This window comes from Homo sapiens, chromosome 1 (assembly GCF_000001405.40).
Source record: "Homo sapiens chromosome 1, GRCh38.p14 Primary Assembly".
Taxonomy (NCBI): Eukaryota; Metazoa; Chordata; class Mammalia; order Primates; family Hominidae; genus Homo; species Homo sapiens.
In genome coordinates, this window is record NC_000001.11 from 21,273,069 (window position 1) to 21,300,082 (window position 27,014).

A 27,014-nucleotide genomic window follows, 5' to 3' on the forward strand; every position below is an offset into this window, starting at 1 on the left:
ATTTCCGCTTATAACACAAGACTTCTACTCAGCTGTCTAAAATCCTTCCTGTGGCTAAAAGGTACCCAGAACCCAGGTGTTTCTCTTAATCAACCTTCTCCTCCATAAATATTCATTGACTCTTTATTATTCCTTGATGCTCAACAAATTTATTCATTCACGCATGCATTCATTTATTCAGCAAGATAATGACTACCTTCCAGGTTCTCTGCTGAGTATGGAGTGCGTGTGTGTGCATGTGTGCACCTGCGTGAAAGTGTGTGCCCGTGCGTGTGTGCGTGTGTGTGTGTGTGTGTGTGTGTGTGTGTGTGTGTAGGGTACTGGGGTATTGGGCATAAAAAGGCAGAGTCCTTTAATCCAAGAGCTAACAATTCAGTTGGGGATATACACATAAATCAAAATGGAACAGTAGGAGAAATGTCTGTCCTCCTTTCTACAAAAATAAACTGAACATTTACTATGTGCCAAAAGGGTGATGTAGACAGTATGGATGACAGGACATAGGAAGGAGGAAAGCCTATTAGAAATAGAAGGAGGAAATAGGAAAAATCACTCCTACGTACAAGCAGGAGAGTGAGTGACCTCAGGGAATCCTCAAAAACCCAAAGGCTACGCCAGGTGCCGTGGCTCACGCCTGTAATCCCAGCACTTTGGGAGGCCGACTTAATCACAGCTACTTGGGAGGCAGAGGCAGAAGAATCGTTTGAACCCGGGAGATGGAGGTTACAGTGAGCCAAGATCGAGCCATTGCACTCAATCCTGGGGGATAAGAGCGAGGAGACTGGTTTGCCAGAGGCAAGAGGAAAGGGCCAGAGCCCTGCCTCAAGGTTGGCGGCTGAGCTCTCCCAAAGGACCCAAAGCCTGGGTGGCCTACGCAGAGGCCTGGCCTGAGGCAGCAACATGAAGCTGACTGTGCAGGATCGAGAATCACAGGCCCAGCCCCATCGTCCGTTTACCCAGGCTGTGCTGATGACCAAAGGGACTTTACTGAACGTGGCCGTGTACTGGGCACTTTGCACACATTCAGGATCTCATTTAACTCATTACAAGTCATCAGATGCAGGCATCATGTCCCTAGTTAAAGAGGAAACTGAGGGAGTGAACGGAACAAGGTCGCCCAGCTATGTGGGAGGGCGGAGAGCTGAGAGCTGGGCCCAGGCCTGTCTTGGTCCAGCCATGCCAAGGCTGTGTTTTTCTGCTTTCCTTCCCCACCTCTCTGCCAGTCACACGAGGGGCTGGTGCAGCCTGACTGCTGAGATCCGTTTCCCCACCACACAGGGAGGCAGTGAGGCAGGGTGGGCTTTGGAGGCCACTAGACCTGGGTTCAAATCCAGCTTTCTACGTTTGCCAGTGGGGCTTTGGGCAAGTGACCTCATCGCTCCATGCCTCAGTTTATCCATCTAAAAGTTAGGAAGAAAGGTAGGACCAATTTCACAGATTTCACAGTGATGATGGCCATGGCTGGGCACGGGGGCTCAGCTTCCTCAAGTCTCAGGGTCTGAAGTTTCAGGCCAGTCTTTAGAGAGCAGCAAAGAACGCACGAGCTAGTATGGGCAGTGTTCCCCTCACTCAGGAACATAAGGCCAGTGGGCAGAGGTTCATTTGTGGAATTAGTAACATTTGATGACAAACACATAGTCCTTCAGATGGGTGGCTGACAAAGGGCTCAGAGCAGCTGCACAACAGCAGGAAAATCAGGGTGATCTGACTTTGAGATAATCACACAACAATTAAAAATTATTGTTCACAGCCGAGAGGTGTGCCATAAAAAAATTATGGAGCCATTACACATGAAAACAGAGAAAGGAAATGGTGGGGGTGATGGTGCCATTTTAAATATCTCTAAATCAAATCATCTTAATCACAGTTGCATGCTCCACTCCCAAACTCGGGGAAGGCACCAGAATCTTTATGGGGCAGGGAAAGAATTTCCATGTAGGTTGAAAGAGCCTGTTGAGTATTACGATATAACTCCATACTTAGAGAAGGAAAAGAATACCTATTGTTTTCACACATCGAACCACAGGAAGGAAAATTTTACAACATCTTGGCTGGTGGAGATGCCCAGGAGACAGGCTGAGAGTGAGCCTAACGCGGGAAGACGCATCAGAATCTGTGTGTATGTGTCTGTGTGTGAGAGAGAGACAGACTGATTAATTAACTGATAAAGGTTTTTGCTGTTATCACACAGGGACTTGGGTTTAAAAACAAAACAAGAAACTAGTCCCAGAAGTCAGTCTCAGAGGCCGGGCTCGGTGGCTCATGCCTGTAATCCCAGCACTCTGGGAGGCCGAGGTGGGCGGATCACCTGAGGTCAGGAGTTCGAGACCAGCCTGGCCAACATGGTGAAACTCTGTCTCTACTAAAAATACAAAAATTAGCCAGGTATGATGGGGGGCACCTGTAATCCCAGCTACTTGGGAGGCTGAGGCAGGAGAATCTTTTGAACCCGGGAGGCGGAGATTGCAGTGAGCCAAGATCGCGCCACTGCATTCCAGCCTGGGCGACAAGAGTGAGACTCTGTCTCAAATAAATAAATAAAGCAGTCTCAGAAATTTGAGTTCTTCACTAAGTGCCTACTTTGCTGGACATTGGGCTAGGGACCTACGAGGTGCTTAAGGAGCAATGGCTTGATTATTTAACTATTTAATGGTTTGCAGAAACTTCATGAAATATTCCTGGCCCAGGAAGTGCTTCATGCATTTTGATGACCTCATGGTTTCCAGGCCCCCTCATCTAAGGCCCCCTCTTCCTACGGAAACCTTCATCGACCCCCTTCCCTCTCTGGGCCCCTCAGCGGCCTGGGTGCCTGCTCTGCTACTGTGCTATGTCACGACCATCTCCTTGTTCATTTCTCCTACTAGAATGTGAACTTCAGGGCAGGCCAATATCCTATGCGTTTTTATATTTCCATTGTCTAGTACTGTGTTTGGCAACTAGCAGCTGTTTAATACGTGCTTTTTTTTTTTTTTTTTTTTTTTGAGACAGAGTTTTTGCTCTGTCACCCAGTGCAGTGGCATAATCTCGACTCGCTGCAACCTCTGCCTCCTGGATTCAAGCAATTCTCCTGCCTCAGCCTCCTGAGTAGCTAGGATTACAGGCATCCAACACCACGCCTGGCTAATTTTTGTATTTTTAGTAGACACGAGGTTTCACCATGTTGGCCAGGCTGGTCTTGAACTCTTGACCTCAGGTGATCCACCCGCCTCGGCCTCCCAAAGGGCTAGGATTATAGGCGTGAGCCACTGCGCCCGGCCTCAATACGTGTTTTTGAATGAACAACCGAATGAATGAAAGGCCTTATTCAGCACTTGTTCACCACCTGCAGAGGCAGCAAACATTTCTTTCCGTTGGGACATGCGTGATCAATTGAGAAAGCAGAAACAGATCCTAGATTTAATTTACAGACACTCATCTGGACAGCCTGGCCTCAAAACTGTGTAGAATGCTTTCTTTAAAATATGTTCTTGGAGAATGTATTGTTTGTTTTGCTGCCTCTGTTTGCAAAGCACCAGCATGTTTCTGGAAAGGAAGCATAGCAGGAAGGTAAGTAAACACGTACTATGTGTCCAGACATTCCCAGAGGCTGGCCTTCAGAATCATCAGATTTGCTTTCTTTTTTTTTTTTTTTTTTTGAGACGGAGTCTCGCTCTGTCGCCCAGGCTGGAGTGCAGTGGTGCCATCTTGGCTCACTGCAACCTCTGCCTCCCAGGTTCAAGTGATTCTCCTGCCTCAACCTCTCGAGTAGCCGGTGTGCACCATCACAGCCACCTGAGTAGCTGGGACTACAGTTGTGCGCCACCATCCCTGGCTAATTTTTGTATTTTTAGTAGAGACGGGGTTTCACCATGTTGGTCAGGCTGGTCTCGAACATCTTGACCTCAGGTGATCTGTCCATCTCGGCCTCCCAAAGTGCTGGGATTACAGGCGTAAGCTACTGCGCCCGGCCAGATTTGCTTTGACTGGCCTGATGTTTGCTCAGATGTGGCCAGCACCAGCACCTGCTCCTGGGTAATGAGGTTACTGTTAATATCTGGGGTGGTCACTGCTTTCCCAGGTGGCTCAGGGGTCACCTGATACTCTGCCCAGCTCCACTCCAGGGGAAGAATGTTCCTCTCCCAGGTCCAGGCTGGAGAAAACCCTTCTGAGACCCAGAGAGGGACACAACAGAGGCAGAAGCAGGATTCCTCCCAAGGGGCCCCACTGGGCAATAACAACAGAAATGTTTTGGGTCTGATCATCAGGAGCTGGCCCGTGGGGACTCCCCCCTGGTTTCTGGTGAAGACATATCTTTGGAGCTCCGAGGGGCAGTCTCAGGGTAACACTGGCTGCCGGAGTCTGGCCAGCTCCCGCTGCTCTGAGCCAAGAGCTGTGCAGACGTGCTGGCCAGGGTCCACACTGACCAGGAGGGGGTTCAGAACTAGAGCTGATTTAGGCTGAGGCGACATGGCAGTGGCAGGAGAGGATGACGAGCTTGTGTCCTGTTAGCAGAGGAGGCACAAACACACACACACACACACCAGGACACGATCACACAATATACATACACTCAGCAGAGAAAGGCTGTTCCCAGCCTGATCTTCCTTCCTACCCCTTCGTTCATTCAAACATTAATTTATTCATTTTACTATCTGCACACCTATGGCACAGGCACTATGCTAAGCACATCTGGTTAAGGGCCTGAAAACTAGTCATTAATTAGTCAAATATGCATTAAGCACCTGCTGAGCCAGGCACATTTGGTAAAACACCTACAAACCATTATAGTTAACTAATCAAGCAATTATTTCTTAAGTACAACCTATCTTTGTGGAATGAATGAATACCTGTGTGCCTTACCCAGGAGGGATGGAAGAATGCTCAGATGAAGGCCCTGCTCTTTTCTAGGCCCCTGAGTCCCCTCCCCACCCCAGCGCAGCGTGGCCACCCTCACAGACCAGCAACTTCACAGAGGGAAGGCTCCACACAGCCTGTAGTGGATGTTCCAAGATCCTGTGAAAGCTCCTAATCTCTCTCATGGGGTGAGCGACCGAGTCAGTGGGTGGGATGCTGAGCAGAGCCCCCAGAGGCTGCTCAACTAGGTGAACCATCTGCCATCAGAAGAATAGATGTTGGGGCACAGGGGACTGAGAGGCCCTGGCTTTGGCTAATTCCCCATTCTTATTTCTAACTTGGATCCACCCCTTCGCACTTCTTAAGTGTTTACTGAGCATCAACTCTGTGTGAGGCAGCTGGCTAGATCCACTTAGTTGGAAACAGAGAACCAGTCTCAGACCCCTACAGCAGGATCAGAGTGGCCCAATTGTATCACCATTCAAAGTGGGACAAAGGCACCGATCAAGGAACACGATGGGCAGCTGGATCTGGAAGGGCAGCTCTCCTGGGGGTGTAATGCGCTCTGGAGCGTACTTGGATTACAAAGGGAGGTGGAGCCTGGGCTTGAGCCCAGTAGCCTGTGGGTGAATTCCAACTTCCGCATTGGATTAGCAAGTCACTCTATCTCAGTGCCTCAGTTTCCTAATATGGAAAAGGGGCCAAAAGTAACCACACTTCACAGGGCTGCCTCCAGGAGGAAATGAGATTGCATCTGAAGCGAGGGGTGTGGTATTTGGGTATTTGGTCCGAGGAAATAATTCAGTAAACAGAGGGCATTATTGTTATTTTATTGGAACTAGAGATAGCAGACAATGTCAGCCTATGTGTGTAATTACCCCACATTCTAGCAACAACAGTACCCAGAGCTAAAGTTGAAGAAGTCCTACGAGGCACCAGCTATGGGACATATGTTATCTCTAGTCCGCAGACCCATCCCCCAGTTGGGTACTGTTTTCCCATTTAAATTAGAGAAGACACAGGCTGAGGGAATAAGTGACTTGTCCGAGGTCACACAGCCAGTAAGTTGCTGGGACAGGATGTGGACTCAAGTGCGAGACCTTTATATCACCCACGCTGCCCACTTCCCGGGTCTTGGTCTATCTCAGCACCCAGACCCCCCTGGGCCTGGCTCCCTCCTTAGCCTCAGAGCCCTGCCCCGGCTTAAGCAGGGAAGCCCCCCTCGCCCGAGCTGACGGAGCCGGGTGCAGGAGTGAGTCAAGCCCACCATGCAACACGAAGGCACCTACTTGTCTGGTACTGGATGCCCAGTGCTGCCAAGCAGGCCACCAGTCCTGCCGCCAGAAGTACCACCAACACCACCAGCCGCTTCTCCACCTGGGTCCGTGCAGCCCAGCACCTCTGGCCACTCCGGGGGCTGTGGAAGTTCACCTGCAGGGAAGGAGGCAGGAGGGGCGGGGAAGACGTGAGCCCCGGGCCCCGCTTCCCTTGGAGGAAGGGGTTCCGCTGCAGGCCCAGGCCCTGGAGAGGCATCAGGGCTGCCTCCTGTCTCAGGGGTGGTCTGGTTCCCACAGATTCAGCCCTAATCCAGGAAAGGAACAGCCACCCTGCTCAGCTGCTCGGATCTGCTCCCAAACATCAGAGAGTCAAGCAGCTCGGCCCCGACAGGCTTGTTTTTTTGTGTCACTCGATATGAGTGGAAGGAAAAAACTACAGCTTTTCCCTGTTTCTCCAGTGAGGAGTTCAAAAAAGAACAGGATGTTTGGACTTGCAGGCATCCAGTGAGTACCCAGCTGGGCTCTCTGCAGAGCCCCCACATCAGCGGGGTCAGGGACAAGGGTGACACAGCCATGGCTCACACTTCCCAGAAGCACAGACATCCTTAGCTCATTAAACCCTCATAATCCCACGCAAAAACACGCGAGCCACCTTGTTATTTTTCTTTTTACAAGTGAGGAAACTGAGGTCCAGAGAGGTGAGACCCTGGCTTCTCACCACCCAGCTGAATGGGGACAGCTGGGATTGGAACCCAAAGCTGTTGATGCCCGAGCCCACCAGTGGATCAGAGGTGGATCCTGGGAGATGTTGGCAGAGATGCAAGGAGAAATAGCTCCATTCAGGTCCTGAAAGGGAGGAAAAATCCCTCCAGCCTAACAGTCTAGCTAAACAGGAAGGGAGGCACAATGAGAGGAAGTGCAGGGTGTGGCAGGGCCCTCCCTGCCCGAGGAGGGACACACCAGCCAGCAGCAATGGGGGCCGACAGCCCAGGCCTCTCACACCCAAGGCAGCTTGGGGTTCTCCTCTGTTCCAAGAGATGCTTCCTGCAAAACCCACACCCACAAGACAGGAAGGGTCTCCTGAAGGTGGGGTAACGTGTTCAGTGACACCGTGTCATGTGCTAACAGCTGAGCACCAACTCAGGGCCATGCTGGAAATACACAGCCCAGCAGGGAGGCAGATAAAGAAACAGACTGGGGTGGGCAGGGGTTCAATCAGGGAGGGCTTCCTGGAACGGGTGATGTCTGGCCTGGGTCAGTCAGAATAAGTAGGAGCTGGCCAGATAAGAAGGAATGGAAGTGGAGAGGAGAGGAGGGCCTAGATCCTAAGGGGCACAGAAAGCCAGGTTAAGAGCCTGGACTTCCTCTTGAGGACTGGAGTGACATGATTAGATTTACCCTTTGGGAAGGGCAGGGTGGAGGGAGCAAGGCTTGCCAGGAAGAGGGGAAGCTGTCAGGGAAGATGAGGAGACTCAGACTCTGACCTGCAACGGCCCCACCAACAGCCTGAGGGGTGCCCCTGGTGCCGGGTCAGAGCCCTGAGGGAGTCCCACCCTGGCACTCGGGGATCTGAAGTGGGTCAGTTGAGGGAAGGGTACTGAGAAGCCACGTGGCCATGGTTAGGTATTTACTGGGCAGGAAATGACTGGGAATTGCTGCACCAGAGATGGAGGAACACAAGCACTTTCTGTGGAAAAAAAAAAACTGGGTTCCAAAACTGAGAAAAGGGGCCGGGCACGGCGGCTCATGCCTGTAGTCCCAACAGTTTAAAAGGCTGAAGTGGGAGGATCACCTGAGGTCAGGAGTTCAAGACCAGCCTGGCCAACATAGAGAAACCCCATCTCTACTAAAAAACACAAAAATTAGCCAGGAGTGGTGACAGGCGCCTGTAATCCCAGCTACTCGGGAGGCTGAGGCAGGAGAATCGCTTGAACCCGGGAGGCGGAGGTTGCAGTGAGCTGAGATTGCGCCACTGCACTCCAGCCTGGGCGACAGAGCAAGACTCCGTCTCGGAAAACAAAACAAAACAAAACAAAACAAAACAAAACTGAGCAAAGGATCTTGGGGCTTAGAGACACTTCCGTGGAGGCCCAGGAGGCTCAGACACTGAAGCAGCTGGGTCAGGCAGTGGGAGGGATGCCGCCCGCTCAAATCCCTCAAGAATCTCTTCTGAAAAAGTGAGCAATGAAAGTTTCAGACCATGAATTAAAACTTCAGGCTGTGAGGGCCTGGTGCAGAGAGAGACAGCCTGGTATGATGCTAACATGTACACTGTACTCAAATGTTTATAAAGTGCTTTTTCAGAGTAATCAGTTATCTCACACACTTTACCTTGGTCTCTGGTACTCAGAGGGGTCCCAAGGACTTGAAGCAGGGACTGCCTTGCCTAGGGACACTGACGTATGTGTCCTGCTGCCCCTAATTTGTTTCATCCTTCCTCCTTTAGGCTTCTCATGTCCCCATTATCATGGCTCAGCTCACAGGGCACAAGGAGGCCGTGAGACAGTGTTTTGTTTTGTTTTGTTTTGTTTTGTTTGAGATGGAGTCTCCCTCTGTTACCCAGGCTGGAGTGCAATGGCACGATCTCGGCTCACTGCAACCTCTGCCTCCCGGGTTCAAGCGATTCTCCTGCCTCAGTCTCCTGAGTAGCTGAGATTACAGGCATGTGCTACCACGCCCGGCTAATTTTTGTATTTTTAGTAGAGACAGGGTTTCACCATGTTGGTCAGGCTGATCTCGAACTCCTAACATCGTGATCCACCCGCCTCAGCCTCCCAAAGTGCTGGACTGCACCTGGATGAGACCTTGGTTTAAGAGGTACCCATCAGCCAGGCATGGTGGCTCATGCCTATAATCTCAACACTTTGGGAGGCTGAGGCAGGAGGATGGCTTGAGCCCAGGAGTTCAAGACCAGCCTGGGCAACACAGTCAGACCCCATCTCTTAAAAAAAATTAAATTAAATTAGCTAGGCATGGTGGCATGCACCTGTAGTCCCAGCTACTTGGGAGGCTGAGGTGGGAGGATTGCTTGAGCCCGGAAGGTCGAGGCTGCAGTAAGCCATGATTGTGCCCCTGCACTCCAGCCTGGGCAACAGAGCAAGACCCTATCTCAAAAAAGTAAAAAAGAGGCCAGGCGCAGTGGCTCATGACTGTAATCCCAGCACCTTGGGAGGGTGAGGTGGGCGGATCACCTGAGGTTGGGAGTTTGAGACCAGCCTGGCCAACATGGTGAAACCCTGTCTCTACTAAAAATATAAAAATTAGCCAGGCATGGTGGCTCATGCCTGTAATCCCAGCTACTGGGGAGGCTGAGGTGAGAGAATCACTTGAAACTGGGAGCTGGAGGCTGCAATGAGCAGAGATCACGCCACTGCACTCCAGCCTGGGTGACAGAGTGAGACGCTGTCTTGAAAAAAAAAAAAAAAAGAAAGAAAAGAAAAGAAAAGAGGTACCCCTGTGCCTGGTGCTGGCTCCAGGGAGCCAAAGGATGCAGCCACTAGGCTTGGGATGCAGGAAAACCTCACCTTAAATGTACAGGGAAATGTCATGGTGTGGGCGACAAGGAGACAGCTAAGAGCAAGGAGCAAAGCCATCTGCGGAGAGAAGGGAGAGAAGAAAGGAACAGAAGGGGAAGATGAAAGAAACAGAGGGATAGGAAAGGGAAAAAAGAACAATGGCAGCAAATAAATACTTGAGTGCTAAGGGCCTGGGATCATATTAATTCTATTTTGATAGTGCAATTCTATCTTCACAACATTATTTTTTTTTTTTTTTTTTTTTTGAGACGGAGTCTTGCTTTCTCACCCAGGCTGGAGTGCAGTGCCGCCATCTCGGCTCATTGCAACCTTGGCCTCCCGGGTTCAAGAGATTCTCCTGCCTCAGCCTCCCAAGTAGCTGGGACTACAGGCACATGCCACCACACCTGGCTAATTTTTTGTATTTTTAGTAGAGATGGGGTTTCACCGTGTTAGCCAGGATGGTCTCAATCAATCTCCTGACCTCGTGATCCACCCGCCTTGGCCTCCCAAAATGCTGGAATTATAGGCGTGAGCCACAGCGCCCGGCCCATAACATTCCTTTTTTTGAATTTTTTTTAAATTTTTTTTTTTTGAGACAGAGTCTCACTGTGTCGCCCAGGCTGGAGTGCAGTGGAGAGGTCTCTGTTCACTGCAACCTCTGTCTCCCGAGTTCAAGCAATTCTCCTGCCTCAGCGTCCCGAGTAGCTGGGATTACAGGTGTCCGCCACCACGCCGGGCTAATTTTTGTATTTTTAGTAGAGACAGGGTTTCACCATGTTGGCCAGGCTGGTCTCAAACTCCCGACCTCAGGTGATCTGCCCGCCTCAGCTTCCCAAAGTGCTGGGATTACAGGCGTGAACCACTGCACCCAGCCTATCTTCACAACATTCCTAAGAGTAGGTATTAGCGTTAGCTCCAGAAGAAACCCAGGAAGTCGGGGCATGAAGGCAAGGAGAGAGGAGAGAGAACAGTGAGGCAACCCACGTCTCCAGGACTGGCAGCCGCAGACCTACCACAGGAAGTGGAGCTGACCCTCACTGTTTGATGCAAAGTGCTGAATCTAAACAGATGGTGTTCACTGCAAAATTAAATTAAAATTAAGCCAGAATTGAATTAAAAATTCATAGTTCCAGGCAAGAATGGCAAATGGAGTTTGAAAATGGAGTTTTTAACCTTTGTCTTGTTCTTTGCTTGACTTGTACTATCGGCTACGGGCCTCATGGTTTCTGGATAAGCCTTGTCTCTAAAGGCAGAACGAATCCAGATGCCTCACCCTGGGGCAGGAGAAGTCACCTAGAGGTACTAGGCCAGGATCAGGAGGCCTCTCCAGGGCAGGGTGGCCAATTCCTGGGTGCAATGGAAAGGGCTGGGCCGTGAGTCAGGGCACCGATCTGCTTCCAATGGCCGCTGGCCTCGGCTGAGTCTCTTCTTTGCATCCCTGTCGCACCTGCCCAGCCTCCTTCATGGGACTGTGGAGGGGATCCGTGAGATGAGGTCACAGCATGGGGAGATGTGACTGGTTTCTTACGTTTCTTTTGGAAATGAGGTCCCGTCAAGCATGGGAGACTGGCCTAAGCAGCTTGGAGGGTAGGAGGATTGGTGGCAGGCAGCCCAGTCCATCTCAGGAGAGGGGACTGTGAAATGGCCATCCGCTAAGAGGCAGCGCTGATGCCTGGAAGATGCAGAATCACTGCAGATGCTCAGCTCGCTGGTGGGCTTAATTTCCTACTTATTGTCGTGGGAGGCAGAAAGAGAATGAGAAGGAGGGGGTGCCCTCAAAAGAGAGAGGTGGAGAATGAGACAAAGAAATGAGAGAGCCAGAGAAACAGAAAGAGCGAGAGAGCTAGAGTAAGGGAAAAAGAGCAGCGCTATCCAGCCAGGAGTTCCCAGGGTTTCCACAGCCAAGGGAACAAAGCCCTAATCCGGGACACATATTTGGTTACAGAAGTGAGTGCTTGGCTCACCTAGGCTTACAGCAAGAACAAGTTCTGCAGGTGAGGATGGGGCCTGCTGCCTGGGGCCCACGAGACAAGCCGGGAGCAGAAAGGGTGGGGAGCCAGGTGAAGCCAGGTTTTCAGAGTCAGGTCGGAAGGGAAGGCAGAACCCAGCAACCTGGGCTGCACGAAGCAGCAATGGGAGTGGTCTGGGCAAGGGTCTGGCAGGGATCCCACCCCTCTGCAGCCCAGAAACCCAGCCACCTGGGAGCGCTGGCAGGGGCACCAGGCTCCCTGGAGTAAGCCTTTGAGAGCAAGTCGACTGTGACAGCCCAGCCTGCGAGGAACCCTGCCTCCGAAAGTTCCCCAAAGTCAGTTTGGGGAAGTTTCTTCCAGTAAAGTTTCCATGAGGTGGCCTTCTGGCTGAGGCAATGGGGTCAGTCCAGAGCAAAATTCTCAAGTCCTTGTGTCCTCTTGTCTCTGCCTGAGCCTTGTCTGCTACCCCACCCAGATGCCTGACTTTAAATGACTGGTAACAGCTTAAAATATGATCCGTTGTAGGGGAGGGCACTCCTCACATCTTAGCAAGAATCAAAGGCTAATATTTACAAGTACTTTCCAACTTTCATCGCTTCCCAGAAGGAACACCCAGCTCCCCACAGCATGGGAGAAAGATGGTAACCCTGAGAAGTCAAATATCCCACTGTGTGTTGCTGGGCAGTCTCTGGGCCTCAGTCTCCCATCTCTAAAATGAGGAGGCTGATTGAGGTCCCAGGTGTGACTTCTCAGACTCTCAAACCTCAAGGCTATATAATAGGCAAACAGAGTTGATAACAACTCCAGGTAAACAGACATGTCTTTTTAAAGTATTGAGCGGGCTTGTCCCTGAAATCACCCTGGAAAGACAGCTTTGGCCAGGCATGACGGCTCATATCTGTAATCCCAGCACTCTGGGAGGCCAATGTGAGAGGATCGCTTGAGCCCAGGAATTCAAGGCTGCAGTGAGCCATGATCACGCCACTGCACTCCAGCCTGGGCAACAGAGCAAGACCCTGCCTCAAAAAAAAAAAAAAAAAAAAGGCTGGGCACAGTGGCTCATGCCTGCAATCCCAGCACTTTGGAAGGCCGAGGCAGGTGGATCACCTGAGGTCGGGAGTTTGAGGCCAGGCTGGCCAACATGGTAAAACTCCATCTCTACTAAAAATACAAAAATTAGTCACGCATGGTGGCGCACGCCTGTAATCCCAGCTACTGGGGAGGCTGAGGTGGGAGAATTGCTTGAACCCAGGAGGTGGAGGTTGCAGTGAGCTGAGATTGTGCCACTGCACTACAGCCTGGACAACAAGCAAGACTCTGTCTCAAAAAAAAAAAAAAAAAAGAGAAGAGAAGAGAGCCCTGTGCAAGGTGGGAAAAAAATGAGAAAACTATAACTAAGAATTTAATATCTCACCTTTCTTTTTTTCTTAACAACAACAAAAAAAGATTTTTAGAAGTAATTGAATGAATTTCAAAGGTTTTGGTAGACATGGCCATCTGCTCCTCAGTTCAGGCTGCAGGTGTAACTTCAGCTATATCCCTTCCTGCCGCTGAAAATGGTGTATGTTCAGGTGTGGGAAGATCAGGCAGCTGGCTTTGGCAGAGCAAGAGGCTTCAGAGCAAAAGCTAGCATATTTAGATGTATATTATTATATCATGTCACTCATAGTGAGTTTCTGTAATAATCCTTGTAATAACCTAATAACCAAATCCATTTTCTAAGCATTATCCAAAATGCTTTCCCTCATACTGTCCCACTGAGCCTTTGCAACAGCTCTGAGAGGTGGGCTAATAATATTAACCCCATTTTACAAAGAAAGCTGTGGAAGTGAGTTGCTTTCAGGTCTCACAGCGCAGGAGAGACAGAGCTGGGGCTCCAAGTTAGAGCCAGCTTCCTTTGAATTCTGTGCTTGGTTCAGAGTGACTCACTTTAGTAGACTGCAAGTAATCTGTGCCTAAAATATGGGATAAAGAAAAAGAACAGGTTAGGCACGGTGGCTGTAATCCCAGCCCTTTGGGAGGCTGAGGCAGGAGGATCACTTGAGGCCAGGAGTTCGAGACCAGCCTGGGCAACATGGCAAAACCCCATCTCTACTAAAAATACAAAAAATTAGCCAGGCATGGTGGCACATGCCTGTAGTTCCAGCTATTTGGGAGGCTGAGGTGAGAGAATCACAGGTCAAGGCTGCTAGTAAGCCCAGATTGCGCCACTGCACTCCAGCCTGGCCAACAGAGTGAGACCTTGTCTCAAAAAAAAGAAAAAAAAAAAAGAAAAAGAAAAACCCTTTCAGGTGAGGTACAGGTAGAATTTTGCTCTGGTTAAATTCAACATTGGCCAGCAGGTCCAATAATAAAAAATAAATAAATGTGGCAAGTAATAAAGTAACAAATGTGTCAAGTTTGGCTGAAAAATGGAAGTGTTCATTTATTAGTTATTGGTGTTGATCACTTGGGACTTCCTAAAACGAATGGACTTCAAAATCTTGAAAAATCAAATAGCTTATTTTTTAGCTGTCCATCAAGAGAAAAGATTTGGGATGAAGGGTCTGTTTTAAAAAGTCTAAAATTGAGAGCACAGGCTGGATGTGGTGGCTCATGCCTGCAATCCCAGCACTTTGGGAGGCCGAGGCAGGCAGATCACCTGAGGGCAGGAGTTCGAGACCAGCCTGGCCAACATGGCAAAACCTTGTCTCTACTGAAAATACAAGTATTAGCCGAGCGTGGTGACGTGCGCCTGTAATCCCAGCTACTCCGGAGGCTGAGGCAGGAGAATTGCTTGAACCTGGGAGGCGGAGGTTGCAGTGAGCTGAGATCGCGCCACTGCACTCCAGCCTCTACAACAGAGAGAGACTCTGTCTCAAAATAAATAAATAAATATAAATAAATAAAGTTGAGAGAGAAGTTGTGTCGCTAGCAACCGGCCCAAAGGTAATAATCTGAAAAGCTAAAAATGGGTCACCCACAGAGTGACAGCAGTTGCGCCTAAGTGTCCAACTACAGTGGATTGAATAAATATATTTTTATATGTTGGTACCATGAGGTGTTATGATTTTTAATGGCAGCATGTTTCGGAAGTTTCTGACAATGTAGAAGATGCTGAATGAAAAATGCGGGATATAACATTGTGTATTTACAGTGAGCTCAACTATGTTTAAAAATACATACATACAAGTGTGAAAAACTAGAAACCGTTATCTCCAAGTGGCAGGATTACTGCTCCGTTTTTAATTCCTTTTTATACTTGACTATCTTTTTTTCTCCCCCAAGTGAGCATATAAAGCTTTTACACTGGGGAAAAAAAAAAAAACAATGATTGAAAACATTCAATTAATAGAATACTCTGCCTCATAAATGGAGATGAATGGGTCCTTGACTCAGAAAAGCAAGCACTGGCTACTTCATGTTCACTTTGGGGAAGTTGTGGCAACACCACACAAGCCAAGCTGGGTACCCACAAAAATGCCCCAAATCCTTGCATAACCTCTTTGCCTTTTCCTGCAAGGAAAGTGGAAAATGTATCCATTTGGGGACAGGACACTAACTCCAACCATAGACAACAGCGACGTGACCCCAGGAATGTCTCTAACCTCTCTTTGTCCCTCACCTTTATCATCAATAATGTGGCCACGCCAGCCCTTACTTCATGGGTCATAAAACAATAATCCTAGCAGGCTGCATATAATATGTATGACATCCACTTTCTCTAACATCCATTTCACAGTGAGGCCATCACCACTGAAAGAGATTAAGCCACTAGCCCAAGGTCGTGAGTGGAGTAAGAACTCAAACCCGGGTCGCTGGCTTCAGAGACGGGGCTCCTCCTGCTTGGCCGGGGGCCCTCCCCAGAGAAATGTGCTATTTCATCTGAAAAAGGTTATACCCCAAACAGGCTGCTGTGAGGATAACAGCAACATGGCATTATTACTTTGCTGTGAATTCTGAAATGCTTTTGTGTTGATATATTTAGACCCTTCTGTGGAAGATGAGACTGAAAAACATTGCTGATTAGATTCTGTTTTGATTTGAGAAGGGAAAAGCACCTGCCCCAGAAATCTAATTTCCTGCTGGCTTCAGCCTCTTAAGAAGAGTCCACTGGGAAGAGGTTTGAGACAGACAGGGTTTGACGTGTCGCTCTCGGATTTTTAGCTCGGTGACCGAAGGCCAGTGGTTGCCCCTCTCAGAGCCTCAGTTTCCACATCTGTAAGTGGGGACAGTAATCCCTACAGGTCTCAGGGGTGTTCCTGAAGGTTAAGCAGGGGTACCACACATCCCAGTGGGTAGAGCCCTTGGGACTGTGAGTTTGGGTCCCCTGGGCCTATGTGACCCTGGAGGAGGAACTCCATCAATGGTGTCTCCCTGCGCTGGGAGGATTATTCCCGCTTCTAAGAGGCGTATCTGAGTGGAGTGGGCCTGGCAACTAAGCGTCCATTCATCCTAAGCTCGCCTTTGGGAAGAGTTGTGTGCCAGTTCACCAAGTGGCCCCAAGATTCTCCCAAATACTTCCCTTGGTCTACCTGGCAGAAGTCCTCCGAGAATTGGGGTGCCCCAGCTCCTCTTTCTACACTGGCTTCTCAAGAGCCAGATCACTGGGTCTCCTAGGGTGTCCGCAGCGTTTCCAGCACCTTCCCACGCACCTGGCTGGCTCCAAACCCCTCCAGCACTGAGGTCTTGGCCACAACTGTCCCAGTGCAGCCCCCCAGGGACGGGAGGGCAGAAAGCAGCCTTGCTCAATGTCCTGTTACAAGGCAGGGACGGGGGTGGGGCCCTCCCCAGGAGTGGGCAGATGGGATGCCCACGGGCGGAGACCCTGGGGAGGGGAGGAATTGGACTTCCTTAGTAGGCTGGAAAAGGGGCAGGGAGAGGGGGCAGAGAACAGGTTTCTGGCCCCAGGAAACTCAGGTATTGGGAGGGCAAGAGGAAGAGGGTGGTACTGCCTCCCGGATAAGGTGACCAACTTTCCCAGTTTGCCCCGGACTGGGGGAGTGGGTTCCAGGGATGCAGGGCTTTCCACGCTAAAACAGAAACAGCCGTAGACTCTGCCGGTAAAGGGCCTGGGCAAGTCCCGGGACATGCACAAACTGTGCCTTCTGTGGAAAGGGAACTGGACCAGTTCGGGTCTCGGGGGTGCTTTCAACTCTGCCACCTGGGCTGTGGCCCCAGAAGCAGGTGGCCGGGAGGCTCTAGGGATGGCGGGGGCAGGTGAGGGGAGACTGGTGGGCTCCGGAAGGCTTCTCAGCGCGGAGCTCCAGCTGCGGGGAGGCGCGGCCCCTCCCGGATGCCGGGACGAGGGAGGGGAAGGGAGGGGAAGAGGCGGGGTAGGTAGGGGCGGGGGGCGCGGCAGCGGCAGCGCGCATGCCCGGGCCCGGGGCGCCTGGACCTCGGGAGGGAGCGGAGGGCGCCTACCTGCAGGCCGTTGGGGTATGCGTCGCCCTCGGAGAGCGAGTCCACCAGGTCCTCCTCGTCCAGCGTGGCCCGCTTGTACGTCGACATCTGCAAGGCCAAATGCAGCACGGACTCCCTCAGCGCCTCCATGGCTCTCGCGCCCGAATGGGGAAGCGGCCCCGACCCTGGCGCCGCCGCCGCCGCGCCCCGCCCCGGCCTGGACACCCGAGACCGAGACCGGCCCACGGAGCGGCCCGCGCGGGGAGGGGTCCCGCCCGCCTCCCGCCCCCGCCCTCCAGGCCGCGCCCGCCTCACCCCCAGCGCCGACAGCAGGGCGGACACCGGGGGCGGCCACACGCCCCGCATGCTGTGCCCCAGACGCCTGGTCCCGCTGCCCGGGTGGCCGGGATGGGATGGGCCGGGCCAGGCGTTGCACCACCTTCGCGGGCGGGGCCTGATCGGTTCGCCGGCGCCCGGTTCCCAACCTCCGGCCTCCCGGGGAGACCCCAAGACCCGAGAGGCCCGGGGGAGATGGGGACCCCTCCCTTCCCCGGAGGTCGGGAGTGGGGGCCCCCAAACTGAAGCCCCTAGCAGGCAGGAAAGGCCCTCACAGTGACCCCTCCTTCGAGAAAATCTTAAGTCCCCCTTCAACAACCGGGTCCCCAGTGGCAGATAACAAAAGTATCAGGAAGGTGCCCTCGATGTGGCCCAGAGCAATCAAGACAGGTTCCCCCCGGCATCAGCCCTTAGGTGTGTCTAGGGGGTTAATGCTAGAAAGACCAGACAAAAAAGGTGGGGTAAAAAGGTAGGTGTCCCCTTTCAGTTCCCCTTTCTAGCTCAGAGGCCTTTAAGCCAGAGTTCGTGAATGAGTTTCAGAAAATTTCAGAGAACTCCCTGACACGGGATGAAAGGAGCTGTGTGTGTGCATTTGGATGGCTGCAGGGTGGTCCGGTGGTCACCCCCGTGCTCAAAGGTGTCGCCCTCCCTGCAACACAAGAGAACCATTGCTCCAGGGGGAGTCAGAAGCCAGGAAGGGGACCCTTCTTTCCCATCTTCCCCCTCAAGACTCGGAGCCTCAGCCAGGTGCCCCCCTCCCCAGCCCCTGAGCCCTCTCCTATAACCCTAGGCAGGGAAAGGGGGCTCTCTCGGATATGAGGTGTTCAGTTAGGGACTCAGGCCCAGCACTGTCCCAACCAAGAACCCCAGAGAGGTCTAACCCAGCAGATTTCCAAAGGACTCTCCGCTTCTAGCAAGGCGGGAATCCCTGCATTTATGCGTACTTTTCAGCTTTGCAAAGTGCATTTCTGCTCATTCCAAATTTGATTCTCACAGTCACACATATGTGTGAATAAACAGGTTTAGAGGGGTGAGGGGCCTGACGTCACAGGGACAGTGAGGGCAATGGCTCCAGATGGTCTCCTGGCTTCCACTCCTGCCCTCTGACAGCCCCCTCAGCAGCCAGGATGAGCCTTTAAAATGAAATCTGGCTGAGGCCAGGCACCATGGCTCGCTCGCGCCTGTAATCCCAACACTTTGGGAGGCCAAGTTGGGTAGATCACTTGAGGTCAGGAGTTCAAGACCAGCCTGGCCAACATGATGAAACCCCATCTCTACTAAAAATACAAAAAATCAGCTGGGCCTGGTGGCATGCATCTGTAATCCTAGCTACTCAGGAGGCTGAGGCAGAAGAATCGCTTGAACCCAGGAGGTCGAGGTTGCAGTGAGCTGAGATTGTGCCACTGTACTCTAGCCTGGGTGACAGAGTGAGACTCCATCTCAAACAAACAAACCACAGAAATCTGGCTGGGTTCAGTGGTTCACACCTGTAATCCCAGCACTTTGGGAGGCTGAGGCAGGAGATCACTTGAGTCTAATTCTAGGCCAGCCTGGGCAACACGGACCCCATCTCTACAAAAAGAAAATATATATATATATATTTATATATTATATATTTTTAATTAGCAGGACGTGGTGGTATGCGCCTGTAGTCCCAGCTACTTGGGAGGCTTAGGTGGGAGAATCGCTTGAAGCCAGGAGGTGGCGGCTACAGTGAGCTGTGATTGCACCACTGCACTCCAGCGTGGACGACACAACAAGATCTTGTCTGAGTAAATAAATAAAATAAAAAAAAATTCTGATATTACCACTCCCTTGCTTAAAAACCCTCCACTGTCCTGGAATGAAATCCAAACCCTTCACCAGGCCCCATGGCCCCTGCCCACTCTGGGCCCTCATCTTGTGCTGCCAGCGCCCCCTCCCCCACCAACCTCCTCACACAACTCCTCAGTTTCTACAAGTTTCTTCTTCCCCCAAGACCTTTGTAGCTGCTGTTGTCTCTATCTGGAACATTTTTTCCTCCTCTCTACTCTTCCCATGGTCAGCTCCAACTTCAGATCTCAGCCTACCAGCTCCTCAAATGTCCCAGGAACCCTAAGCAGTCCCCCAAATTCTCTGTTACAGCATCCTGTTTGTTTTCCTTTACAGTACTTGTTGCAGACTGTTTTGTTTCCATGTCTTTATCATCACTGTCTCTGTCCCTCTCCAGAATCCACAGCTTTACTGGGGCTGGGACCTTGTCTGGCCTGTCCAACAGAGACTCTCCATCACCCGGCACAGAGTAGGTGCTCAACAAACGGTTGTTAAAATCAAAGGGGGGACAAGTAGAGGGGAAGTGCCTTCAAGTTCTCAAGAACTCTCCTGCATCTAACTTCATAATGCCTACAGAAACAGGGAACACATCTAAAGGTCACAGGCCCTGGGGAGGCAGGGTGCATGGGAAAGCTCTGAATTCTGGAGACTTCTGCCTCACTCCCACTGGGTGGAGGAGTTTCCATTACCCATCCCAGAGAGAGAGGGGACTCTGAGGCTGCTTCACTTACTGCTGGGTTGCAGCTGGGCTTTTTCTAGAACAGGACACTTGGTTACACTACGTTACCAGGTGTCGATTGCCAGAGGAAAAGACTTTTGAAAAAGAAGTTCAGTTCACAGAACATCTCCCCGGGGCATGTGGGTGGTGTAAGGGATTCACCCGGCTGGTGTACGGGATTTGTCAGTTCTTTTATACCATCTCTTTTAAGCTTCTCACCCTTCCCTCAGAAGCAGGTATCACTGGTTCCTTTTACAGAGAATGAAACTGAGGCTTGGGGAAGTTAACTCGCCCAGGTGTGGTTAAGCGATGGCTCCTCCTCCTTCTGTCTCATTTCAGAGATTTCCCCCTTCTGGCAAGCTCTCCTGACCACCCTCCAGGGACCCCAGACAGCATTTGGTCCCTGGCTCTGTGTCCCCACACAGCCACCCTACCCCATGCTGCCTTTTACTGAGGCACACAGCATTTTAGACAGGAGAACCCTGATGGCAGAGGCTGGGTCTCACGGGACCCTGTCTCCTTAAGGGCTTAGTCTGGGGCTGGAGCCTCTACAGATGTTTGAGCAAAGGCGGGAGGCAAGGGAGGGAGGCCGGAAGCCACCCCAGGGACTCTGATGTCCACCCTGCGGCAGCCTGTCTGTGGACAGATGATGCAGGAAGCTCACGGAACTCCCAAGCAGAAATCAGCAGAGATGGAGCCTGGTTATTTTTCAGCACACAAAAGCCGAGGGCCCCTTCCTGAGATGCCTGCCTCAGCCCGGTAGTGAAACTGAACCCACCTCAGACGGGAAAGGCTTGGCGGGCTCTGCTTGGTGGGAAGTCCACAGTGGGTGAGTGACATTTCAACAGCTGCCTGGGGCCCTTCGCCCAGGGCCTTCCATTCACTACCCCAATGGCTCCCCACACCCACCTAGAGCCTCAGCCTCACAAGTACCGCTTCCAGCTTACAGAGAGGGGGAGGGGCCTAGACAGACCAAAAACCAACCATGCCACTTGACAAATTCTCTCCTAACCCCACAGTGCCTCGTCCCTGAGATGAGAATCATCACCTCCGCTTTACAAATGAGATGACCAAGGGTCAGAGAGGAGAAAGGACCTCCCCCCAGCCCTGAGTCACCTGCCTGGAGACTGAGGGAGCCATAATGCGAATCTTCCCCTTGCCAAACCCACTGACTCCATTACGCTGCCTCCAGAGAACCCGAGCCCCGCGGCGAGAAAGTGGTAGAGCTGGGCCTCGAACCTGGGTCCTGGACTCTTGGTCCTGTGCTCCTTGTGGAAGATGGAACTGCTTCTTCAGGTGGGAACCTCACAGAGTCTGGGTGCCCTGGGCAGACTGAGGCTCTGGGCTGACAGGGCAGCCAGCACTTATTCTCCCTAATTGTCTCATTTGCAGTTGTGGGTGCCACGCCTGGCCCCGAGTGTGTTGGGGAAGGTAAAGAACCTCCACTTTGGTCTTCTCAGTTCCCTTCCTGGCACTGTGCAGCCGTGGAGGAGAAATCTGGGTTGAATCTGGGTCTAGTGTTCAAGAGGAGGGCCTGGCAGAAACCAAGAGTGAAGGGGTGGAACCACAGCTCCCTGTGGACTGCCCCGTCCTCAGTCCCCGGTGCCCCAGCTGCACAGAGGAAGTGATGACAGCCAGATGAAGGTGCAACAGTGCCCAGCTCTGGAAACTCCACCCTTGTAAATCAAAGGCCTGTGGTGAGCAGAAACGAGAAATATAAACACGCACAGGTTTCTGGCGACAAAAGCCTCCTGGCCTGGTAGCACCTGGGCATGACCCCCTTTGCCCAGACGACATTAGTCACTCATATGGCTCTTGCGTTTGGTTGGCCAAAGGCGGGGGATTGTTAAGTCATCTTGGGGTGATGAGGTGGAAAAGGGAAGCCCCACATGTGAAATTCTGAGGCCTGGGACTGAGCCACACCCTCCACAGCTACTTTCACATTGTCTCTAAGCCTCAGCTCCTTAGAGACGCTGCCCTTTGTGGCCGAAGTCCCCATCAGTTACTACTTTTGGTGCTGGTAATTGGCTGGGATCTGTTCAATCTTTACATGTCATCTAAAACACACTCATATTATCTGGTAGCTAAACACTTATATTTCACAGATGCTATAATGTAGTGGGTAAAATCTCTGGATCTAAACCTCATTTCAGATCCCCAGTCTGAACTTCCCAACTCTGTGACCCTGAGCAAGTGACTCAGCCTCTCTGTGCCTCAGTACTCATCTGTCAAATGAGGAGGATGATGATAACAATAGTACCTCCCTCATAGGACTGTGGTGACACTTAAATGAGTTAATATAGATAAAGTGCTTGGCTGGGCATGGTGACTCATGCCTGCAATCCCAGCACCTGGGGAGACCCAGGCCGGAGGATTGTTTGAGGCCAGGAGTTCAAGACCAGCCTGGGAAACACAGCAAAACCCTGTCTCAAAAAAACAAAAACAAAAACAAACCCAAGTAACACAACTTTGGGCAAGGGATAAGATATAAAAATATGGCTATCATTTCTAAAGATATGCCACTTGACATTTATTATTATTACATTATCCATTATATTTCCCAGTATTTTTCACCAGAGAAATTTCCATGTGATTAGCTTATTTTAAAATTTACTATGAAGTTCCTGAAAGTGTAAACTGCTTCTTTACTTTTTAATAACAGGAATCAGCTTGTATCTCTTTTTTCTTTGGCTGCCAGGAAACTCATAGCCAAATCAGAAACTCGCCTATGGGCACTTTCTTGGCCTTTAGGTTCAGCTTTTTCCTTGTCCACATTTTCCACTCTGTTTTCCGTGATTCTGATTTTCCATTTGGTATTGCATGTCGTTTTACTGAATGTATTTTATTTATAACCTATCATGAATCCTTTGTGGAACAGAGTTAGAAACAACATTTATCAGGCAATTAAGACAGACCTGAGCCCACTCACAGGTTTCCTGGCTCATGTGACCTCGGACATGTTGTTTTCACCCTCAGGTCTCAGTTTCTTCATCCGTAAAAGGGCCATTGTAAATACCGAGTAAGCTAGAACATGAACTGCCTGGCATCCAGCAGCCCAAGCCTGCGTGAACCACACCAGAGGGACATCCTGCGCAGGCCACCTCTTTCTGCTTGCTTCTTCTTGTCTTCCTCACCACCCCTCCCATTTGCTTCTGCCCTCATCCAGATTTTCCAGTCTTGGCCTTTGTTCAGCCAACATTTGTTGTTACTCTAGCCCTGCTGTAAACTCAGTGAAAATAACAGATTGCCCAGGTGATGGAGGTTAATATCAACAGCAAGAAGTCAAATACGAGTTATTAATAGAAATCATGTACCCTTCAGCCGGGTGCTCATGCTTGTAATCCCAGCACTTTGGGAGGCGAGGTGGGCAGATTGCTTGAGCCCAGCAGTTTGCGACCAACCTGGGTAACACAGTGAGACTTTGTCTCTACAAAAAATTTAAAAAAAAAATTAGCTAGGTGTGGTGGCATCCACCTGTGGCCCCACTACTTAGGAGGCTGAGGTGGAAGGATTGCTTGAGCCTAGAAGGTTGAGGCTACAGTGAGCTGAGATCACGCCACTGCACTCTAGCTTGGGTGACAGAGCAAGACCCTGTCTCAACTACAAAAAAAAGAGAGAGAAATAAAATAAAATAAAGTAAAACAAAACAAAACAGAGTCATTGACCTTGACATTGCCCAGTTCTCAAGGCTCTTTTACTCTTGTGTCTTACAATCACCATGTGGGATAAGTCCTGGGATCCCCATTTTACAGATGCAGAGACTGAGGCTCAGAGAAAGGAAGCAGCTTGCCAGAGCTGGAGCCCAAACCCAGATCTTCCTGGTTATCTCAGGGCCTCACCTCCTTTTTTTGTGCCTCCTACCCGGGGCCTGGCTCTGTAGGCTAACTTCCTTTAGAGGCTACGGGCCACCCATCTGGGATGTGGGAAATAGGGACAGATATAACTGCTGGGGCCTGGAGAGGGAGACTCCCCTTTGTACCAAGGGCTCAGATGGAACTGAGGGCCTGTGCAGGGGAAGGCAGCAGGTGGGCAGGGGCTGGGGAGGCCTCAAGGTGAGACTCAGGGAGACACTGGAAGGCCAAGGGCACAGGGCAGAGGTAGGAGGTCAAGGTTGCTAACTGCCCCTTGGAGAAGGCAGCAGCCCTGCCAGCCTGTGAGCCAACCACTCTGGCGTGGCCCCGAGTCCCAGGGCTGGGCTCCCGTGAATGTGCTGGCAGCAGGAGACTTGCCTCCACACACACAGCGCTGGGAAGCACTCACTCACATGGCCCAGTGTTGACTCAACTGCCAGAGGCCCTGGGGGGCACCGGGAATCTTACCTAGTGTTGCTGGCCCATTCTTCAGTGCCTGCTGTGGAGGCCACCCCATGCCCAAGCCCCAAACCTGGTCAGCAGCCTCTCACTCCTACCTGATACAGGCCACTGACCTGCCCACCCTGTCCACTTGCCTGGCAACCTCCATCAATCATCTCTGGTCCTCTGTCCAGGCCCACTGGGCTCTGTCCCCTCGGCATGCCTTCCCCGGTGACCCCCTGACCCCCTTGATCTCCTACTGTAGCTCCCTTTAGTCTTTCAGCTCCTGGCTAGCTCCTGGCAGAACTTTCTTTTTTCTTTTTCTTTTTTTTTTTTTTTTTTTGAGACAGAATCTCACTCTGTCACCCAGGCTGGAGTACAGTCACTTAATCTTGGCTCACTGTAACCTCTGCCTCCTGGGTTCAAGCAATTCAATTCTCCTGCCTCAGCCTCCCGAGTAGCTGGGACTACAGGCGCCCGCCACCATGCCCGGCTAATTTTTGTATTTTTAGTAGAGATGGGATTTCACCACGTTGGCCAGGCTGGTCTCGAACTCCTGACTTCAGATGATCCACCCACCTCCGCCTCCCAAAGTGCTGGGATTACAGATGTGAGCCATGGCTCTTGTTGTTGTTGTTTTTTTTTTTAAGAGACTAGGTCTCGCTCTGTCACCCAGGCTGGAGTGCAGTGGTGTGATCATGGCTCACTGCAGCCTCTAAACTCATGGGATCAAGTGATGCTCTTGCCTCAGCTTCCTGAGTAGCTGGGACCACAGGTGGGTAGCACCATGCCTAGCTAATTTTAAACATTTTTTTTGTAGAGACAAGGTCTCATTGTATTGCCCGGGCTGTTCTAACTCCTGGGCTCAAGCGATCCTCCGGCCTCAGCCTCCTAAAGTGATGGGATTACAGTCATGAGTCACCATGCTTGGCCTGGGCAGGACTTTCTCAAGTGGAACTGCCTCACACACAGACTCCCTGGAGCTGGCAGGATGAAGCCCATGAACCTTGGCCTGGCTTGCTAAACCCTCCCTCCCGACTCCCTCAGGAGTTCGAGTCTGCCTTCTTTCTCCGGCTGGCTCCTCAGCTTAACGCGCTTTCCTCCAGGCAGCTCTCTCGGGCTTCGCAGTGACCCTTCCTCGGTGCTCCGCGGCAGCATGCTTCTGGCATCTCATCCCAACACAGTGAAGAGCAGCCAAGTGCGGCTGTGTGGCCCTGACCAAGTCATTTCACTTCAATTTTATGCTTTGGCTTTCACATCTTTCCACGGACGTGAATGGAGATGATCATGGTGCCGACCCCAAAGGATCCTTACACGTCTTAAAAAAGTGAGCCACGGAAAGGCCTCAGCCCAGTGCCTAGCAGAGAAGCAGCACATGGGAGGGAAGGAACGACCAGAGAAGACCCGTGGTGTGCCAGGCACTAGACCTGGGGCTCGGTGGCACATGTCAGCTCCTTGCAAGTGTGAAACAACTGGAGTGCAGCGAGCATCAGTAACTCACCCTAAGTCACACATCTGGTAAACAGCAAAGCCTGGATTTGAACCCAGGTTTTCCCATGACATCAGATAAGACGGCAATCACCACCTCCTTCTAACCCACCCTGCCTCACCTGCTCCATCCTTACGACTTCAGGTGTCACCTCCCAGCTGGGTTTAAGGGGCTGAGTTGTCCACTCTGATCTTCTCCAAGCACAAACTGCAAAGCAGACCAGAAAGCAGCTGGTCCTGACTCCAGGGCTACCCACAGATGCCCCTGCACCTCCTCATGCTCCTGTGCTCCTGTGTGATGTCCTGGACTGTGTGATGACCAGGCTGGGGAAGTCCCAATCTGAAGAGACCAAGCGCTCTCTGACAATGTGCTGATCTAATCACGTACAACTTAAGACAAAGTTAACCCGTCTCATTGAATGATATGGTATAATGGTGATGACTGAGCTGCCCAGTAATTGTGCTCAACCAGGAAGCAGCTCATGGAGTCAGTTGTAATTAGTATTTGTGTTACACAGGTGAGTGGGTGGGTGAGGGCTGGGCAGAGGGAGGAGGAAGTGGGTGGGGCAGGAAGCTCTGGGGACTCCTTGGATCCATGAACCCCATGCCAGCCAACTCATGTGGTTGATCCTGTCTAACCTTCATGATGACCTCATGATGTACTGTTATCTCTCTTCTAAGGTGAGAAAACAGGCTCAGAGAAGTCCATTCACTTGTCCAAGATCAGACAGCTAGAAAATGACAGAGCCAGGGTTCCCTCTTCAGCCCAGGCGATGTCTTGGACAGCAGAAGGAACAGGAATAGGGCTGGGAGGCTGGAGATCCACATCTCGGTCCCAGTTCTAACACTGCCTTACCCTGGGCCTCAGCAAGTAGCATCCCTCTTCAGGATACAAAGAGATAGTATGTCTGTCAGGTTGCAGACGGCTGAGGGTGTGGACTTGGGAGCTAGGCTCCTTGGATTCTAATCCTTGGGCAAGCTACTTCACCATCTGAGCCTCAGTGTCCTCATCTGTAAAATGGAGATGACAACAGTGTCTCCCTCATAGGCTTGTGAAGATAAAACGAGTAACAAGACTTAGAACAATGCCTGAATATTATTGTCATTTATGGGGAAAAAATGAGCTTTGCTGTCCATTTTTCATCTGTAAAATGGGGAAGTAGTTGCTGGATCTGAACAGTGGTTTGCAAACAGATTTTTTTTCATTCCATAGAGTCCTTTATTTAAAAAACTAAACACAGCAACCCAAAATACAAAAGAGATGTAAGTGGAGCTGCCACTTAGGCACTCAATGAGCTCATATCCTGACCCTGAACCCAGCTCCCTCAGGGGTTCTAAGGAATGGAGTTTGAAAAATCACTCAACTGTCTCTGAGAACTGGTGGCTCT

The 27,014-nt window shown here is 51.2% G+C and overlaps 1 protein-coding gene and 1 long non-coding RNA gene across 9 annotated transcripts in view, besides 11 other annotated features; one reads left to right on the forward strand and one right to left on the reverse strand.

The window, feature by feature from the left end:
* Positions 1 to 27,014, reverse strand: part of ECE1 (endothelin converting enzyme 1) — a 128,255-nt gene that overhangs the window by 55,819 nt on the left and 45,422 nt on the right. For 4 of the 8 annotated variants that reach the window (NM_001113348.2, XM_011540873.3, XM_011540872.3 and 1 more), the window contains exons 2-3: positions 17,002 to 17,088; positions 6,123 to 6,264 (exon numbers count right to left, since the gene is read on the reverse strand). In NM_001113348.2, coding sequence (NP_001106819.1) covers positions 6,123 to 6,264; positions 17,002 to 17,088 — 229 coding nt within the window. Of the gene's footprint in view, positions 1 to 6,122; positions 6,548 to 17,001; positions 17,148 to 17,295; positions 17,396 to 21,085; positions 21,363 to 27,014 lie in introns of those variants that run through there. The other 4 variants (XM_006710398.3, NM_001397.3, NM_001113349.2 and 1 more) reach the window with 4 other exon arrangements.
* Positions 1,018 to 1,517: an enhancer, noted in NCBI's record as "H3K4me1 hESC enhancer chr1:21600579-21601078 (GRCh37/hg19 assembly coordinates)". NCBI's record gives its function as "activates a minimal SCP1, AML or CMV promoter by ChIP-STARR-seq in naive H9 embryonic stem cells {active_cell/tissue: H9 hESC(naive)}" and the evidence as "EXISTENCE:reporter gene assay evidence [ECO:0000049][PMID:30033119]".
* Positions 3,663 to 4,641: an enhancer, noted in NCBI's record as "H3K4me1 hESC enhancer chr1:21603224-21604202 (GRCh37/hg19 assembly coordinates)". NCBI's record gives its function as "activates a minimal SCP1, AML or CMV promoter by ChIP-STARR-seq in naive H9 embryonic stem cells {active_cell/tissue: H9 hESC(naive)}" and the evidence as "EXISTENCE:reporter gene assay evidence [ECO:0000049][PMID:30033119]".
* Positions 4,642 to 5,618: an enhancer, noted in NCBI's record as "OCT4-NANOG-H3K4me1 hESC enhancer chr1:21604203-21605179 (GRCh37/hg19 assembly coordinates)". NCBI's record gives its function as "activates a minimal SCP1, AML or CMV promoter by ChIP-STARR-seq in naive and primed H9 embryonic stem cells {active_cell/tissue: H9 hESC(naive and primed)}" and the evidence as "EXISTENCE:reporter gene assay evidence [ECO:0000049][PMID:30033119]".
* Positions 10,570 to 11,431: an enhancer, noted in NCBI's record as "H3K27ac-H3K4me1 hESC enhancer chr1:21610131-21610992 (GRCh37/hg19 assembly coordinates)". NCBI's record gives its function as "activates a minimal SCP1, AML or CMV promoter by ChIP-STARR-seq in primed H9 embryonic stem cells {active_cell/tissue: H9 hESC(primed)}" and the evidence as "EXISTENCE:reporter gene assay evidence [ECO:0000049][PMID:30033119]".
* Positions 15,839 to 16,400: an enhancer, noted in NCBI's record as "H3K4me1 hESC enhancer chr1:21615400-21615961 (GRCh37/hg19 assembly coordinates)". NCBI's record gives its function as "activates a minimal SCP1, AML or CMV promoter by ChIP-STARR-seq in naive H9 embryonic stem cells {active_cell/tissue: H9 hESC(naive)}" and the evidence as "EXISTENCE:reporter gene assay evidence [ECO:0000049][PMID:30033119]".
* Positions 17,077 to 17,246: a silencer, noted in NCBI's record as "silent region_377". NCBI's record gives its function as "represses an Ori minimal core promoter by ATAC-STARR-seq in GM12878 lymphoblastoid cells {active_cell/tissue: GM12878}" and the evidence as "EXISTENCE:reporter gene assay evidence [ECO:0000049][PMID:35858748]".
* Positions 17,297 to 17,476: a silencer, noted in NCBI's record as "silent region_378". NCBI's record gives its function as "represses an Ori minimal core promoter by ATAC-STARR-seq in GM12878 lymphoblastoid cells {active_cell/tissue: GM12878}" and the evidence as "EXISTENCE:reporter gene assay evidence [ECO:0000049][PMID:35858748]".
* Positions 20,169 to 20,258: an enhancer, noted in NCBI's record as "active region_326". NCBI's record gives its function as "activates an Ori minimal core promoter by ATAC-STARR-seq in GM12878 lymphoblastoid cells {active_cell/tissue: GM12878}" and the evidence as "EXISTENCE:reporter gene assay evidence [ECO:0000049][PMID:35858748]".
* On the forward strand, positions 20,222 to 26,801 carry ECE1-AS1 (ECE1 antisense RNA 1). The gene is made up of 3 exons (NR_038404.1): positions 20,222 to 20,675; positions 20,866 to 21,142; positions 24,959 to 26,801. It is a non-coding gene; the product is annotated as an ECE1 antisense RNA 1 (long non-coding RNA).
* Positions 21,100 to 22,299: an enhancer, noted in NCBI's record as "BRD4-independent group 4 enhancer chr1:21620661-21621860 (GRCh37/hg19 assembly coordinates)". NCBI's record gives its function as "activates an origin of replication core promoter dependent on BRD2, P300/CBP, MED14 and CDK7 cofactors, and independent of BRD4, by STARR-seq in HCT116 cells {active_cell/tissue: HCT116}" and the evidence as "EXISTENCE:reporter gene assay evidence [ECO:0000049][PMID:35650434]".
* Positions 21,639 to 21,798: an enhancer, noted in NCBI's record as "active region_327". NCBI's record gives its function as "activates an Ori minimal core promoter by ATAC-STARR-seq in GM12878 lymphoblastoid cells {active_cell/tissue: GM12878}" and the evidence as "EXISTENCE:reporter gene assay evidence [ECO:0000049][PMID:35858748]".
* Positions 23,503 to 24,107: an enhancer, noted in NCBI's record as "H3K4me1 hESC enhancer chr1:21623064-21623668 (GRCh37/hg19 assembly coordinates)". NCBI's record gives its function as "activates a minimal SCP1, AML or CMV promoter by ChIP-STARR-seq in naive H9 embryonic stem cells {active_cell/tissue: H9 hESC(naive)}" and the evidence as "EXISTENCE:reporter gene assay evidence [ECO:0000049][PMID:30033119]".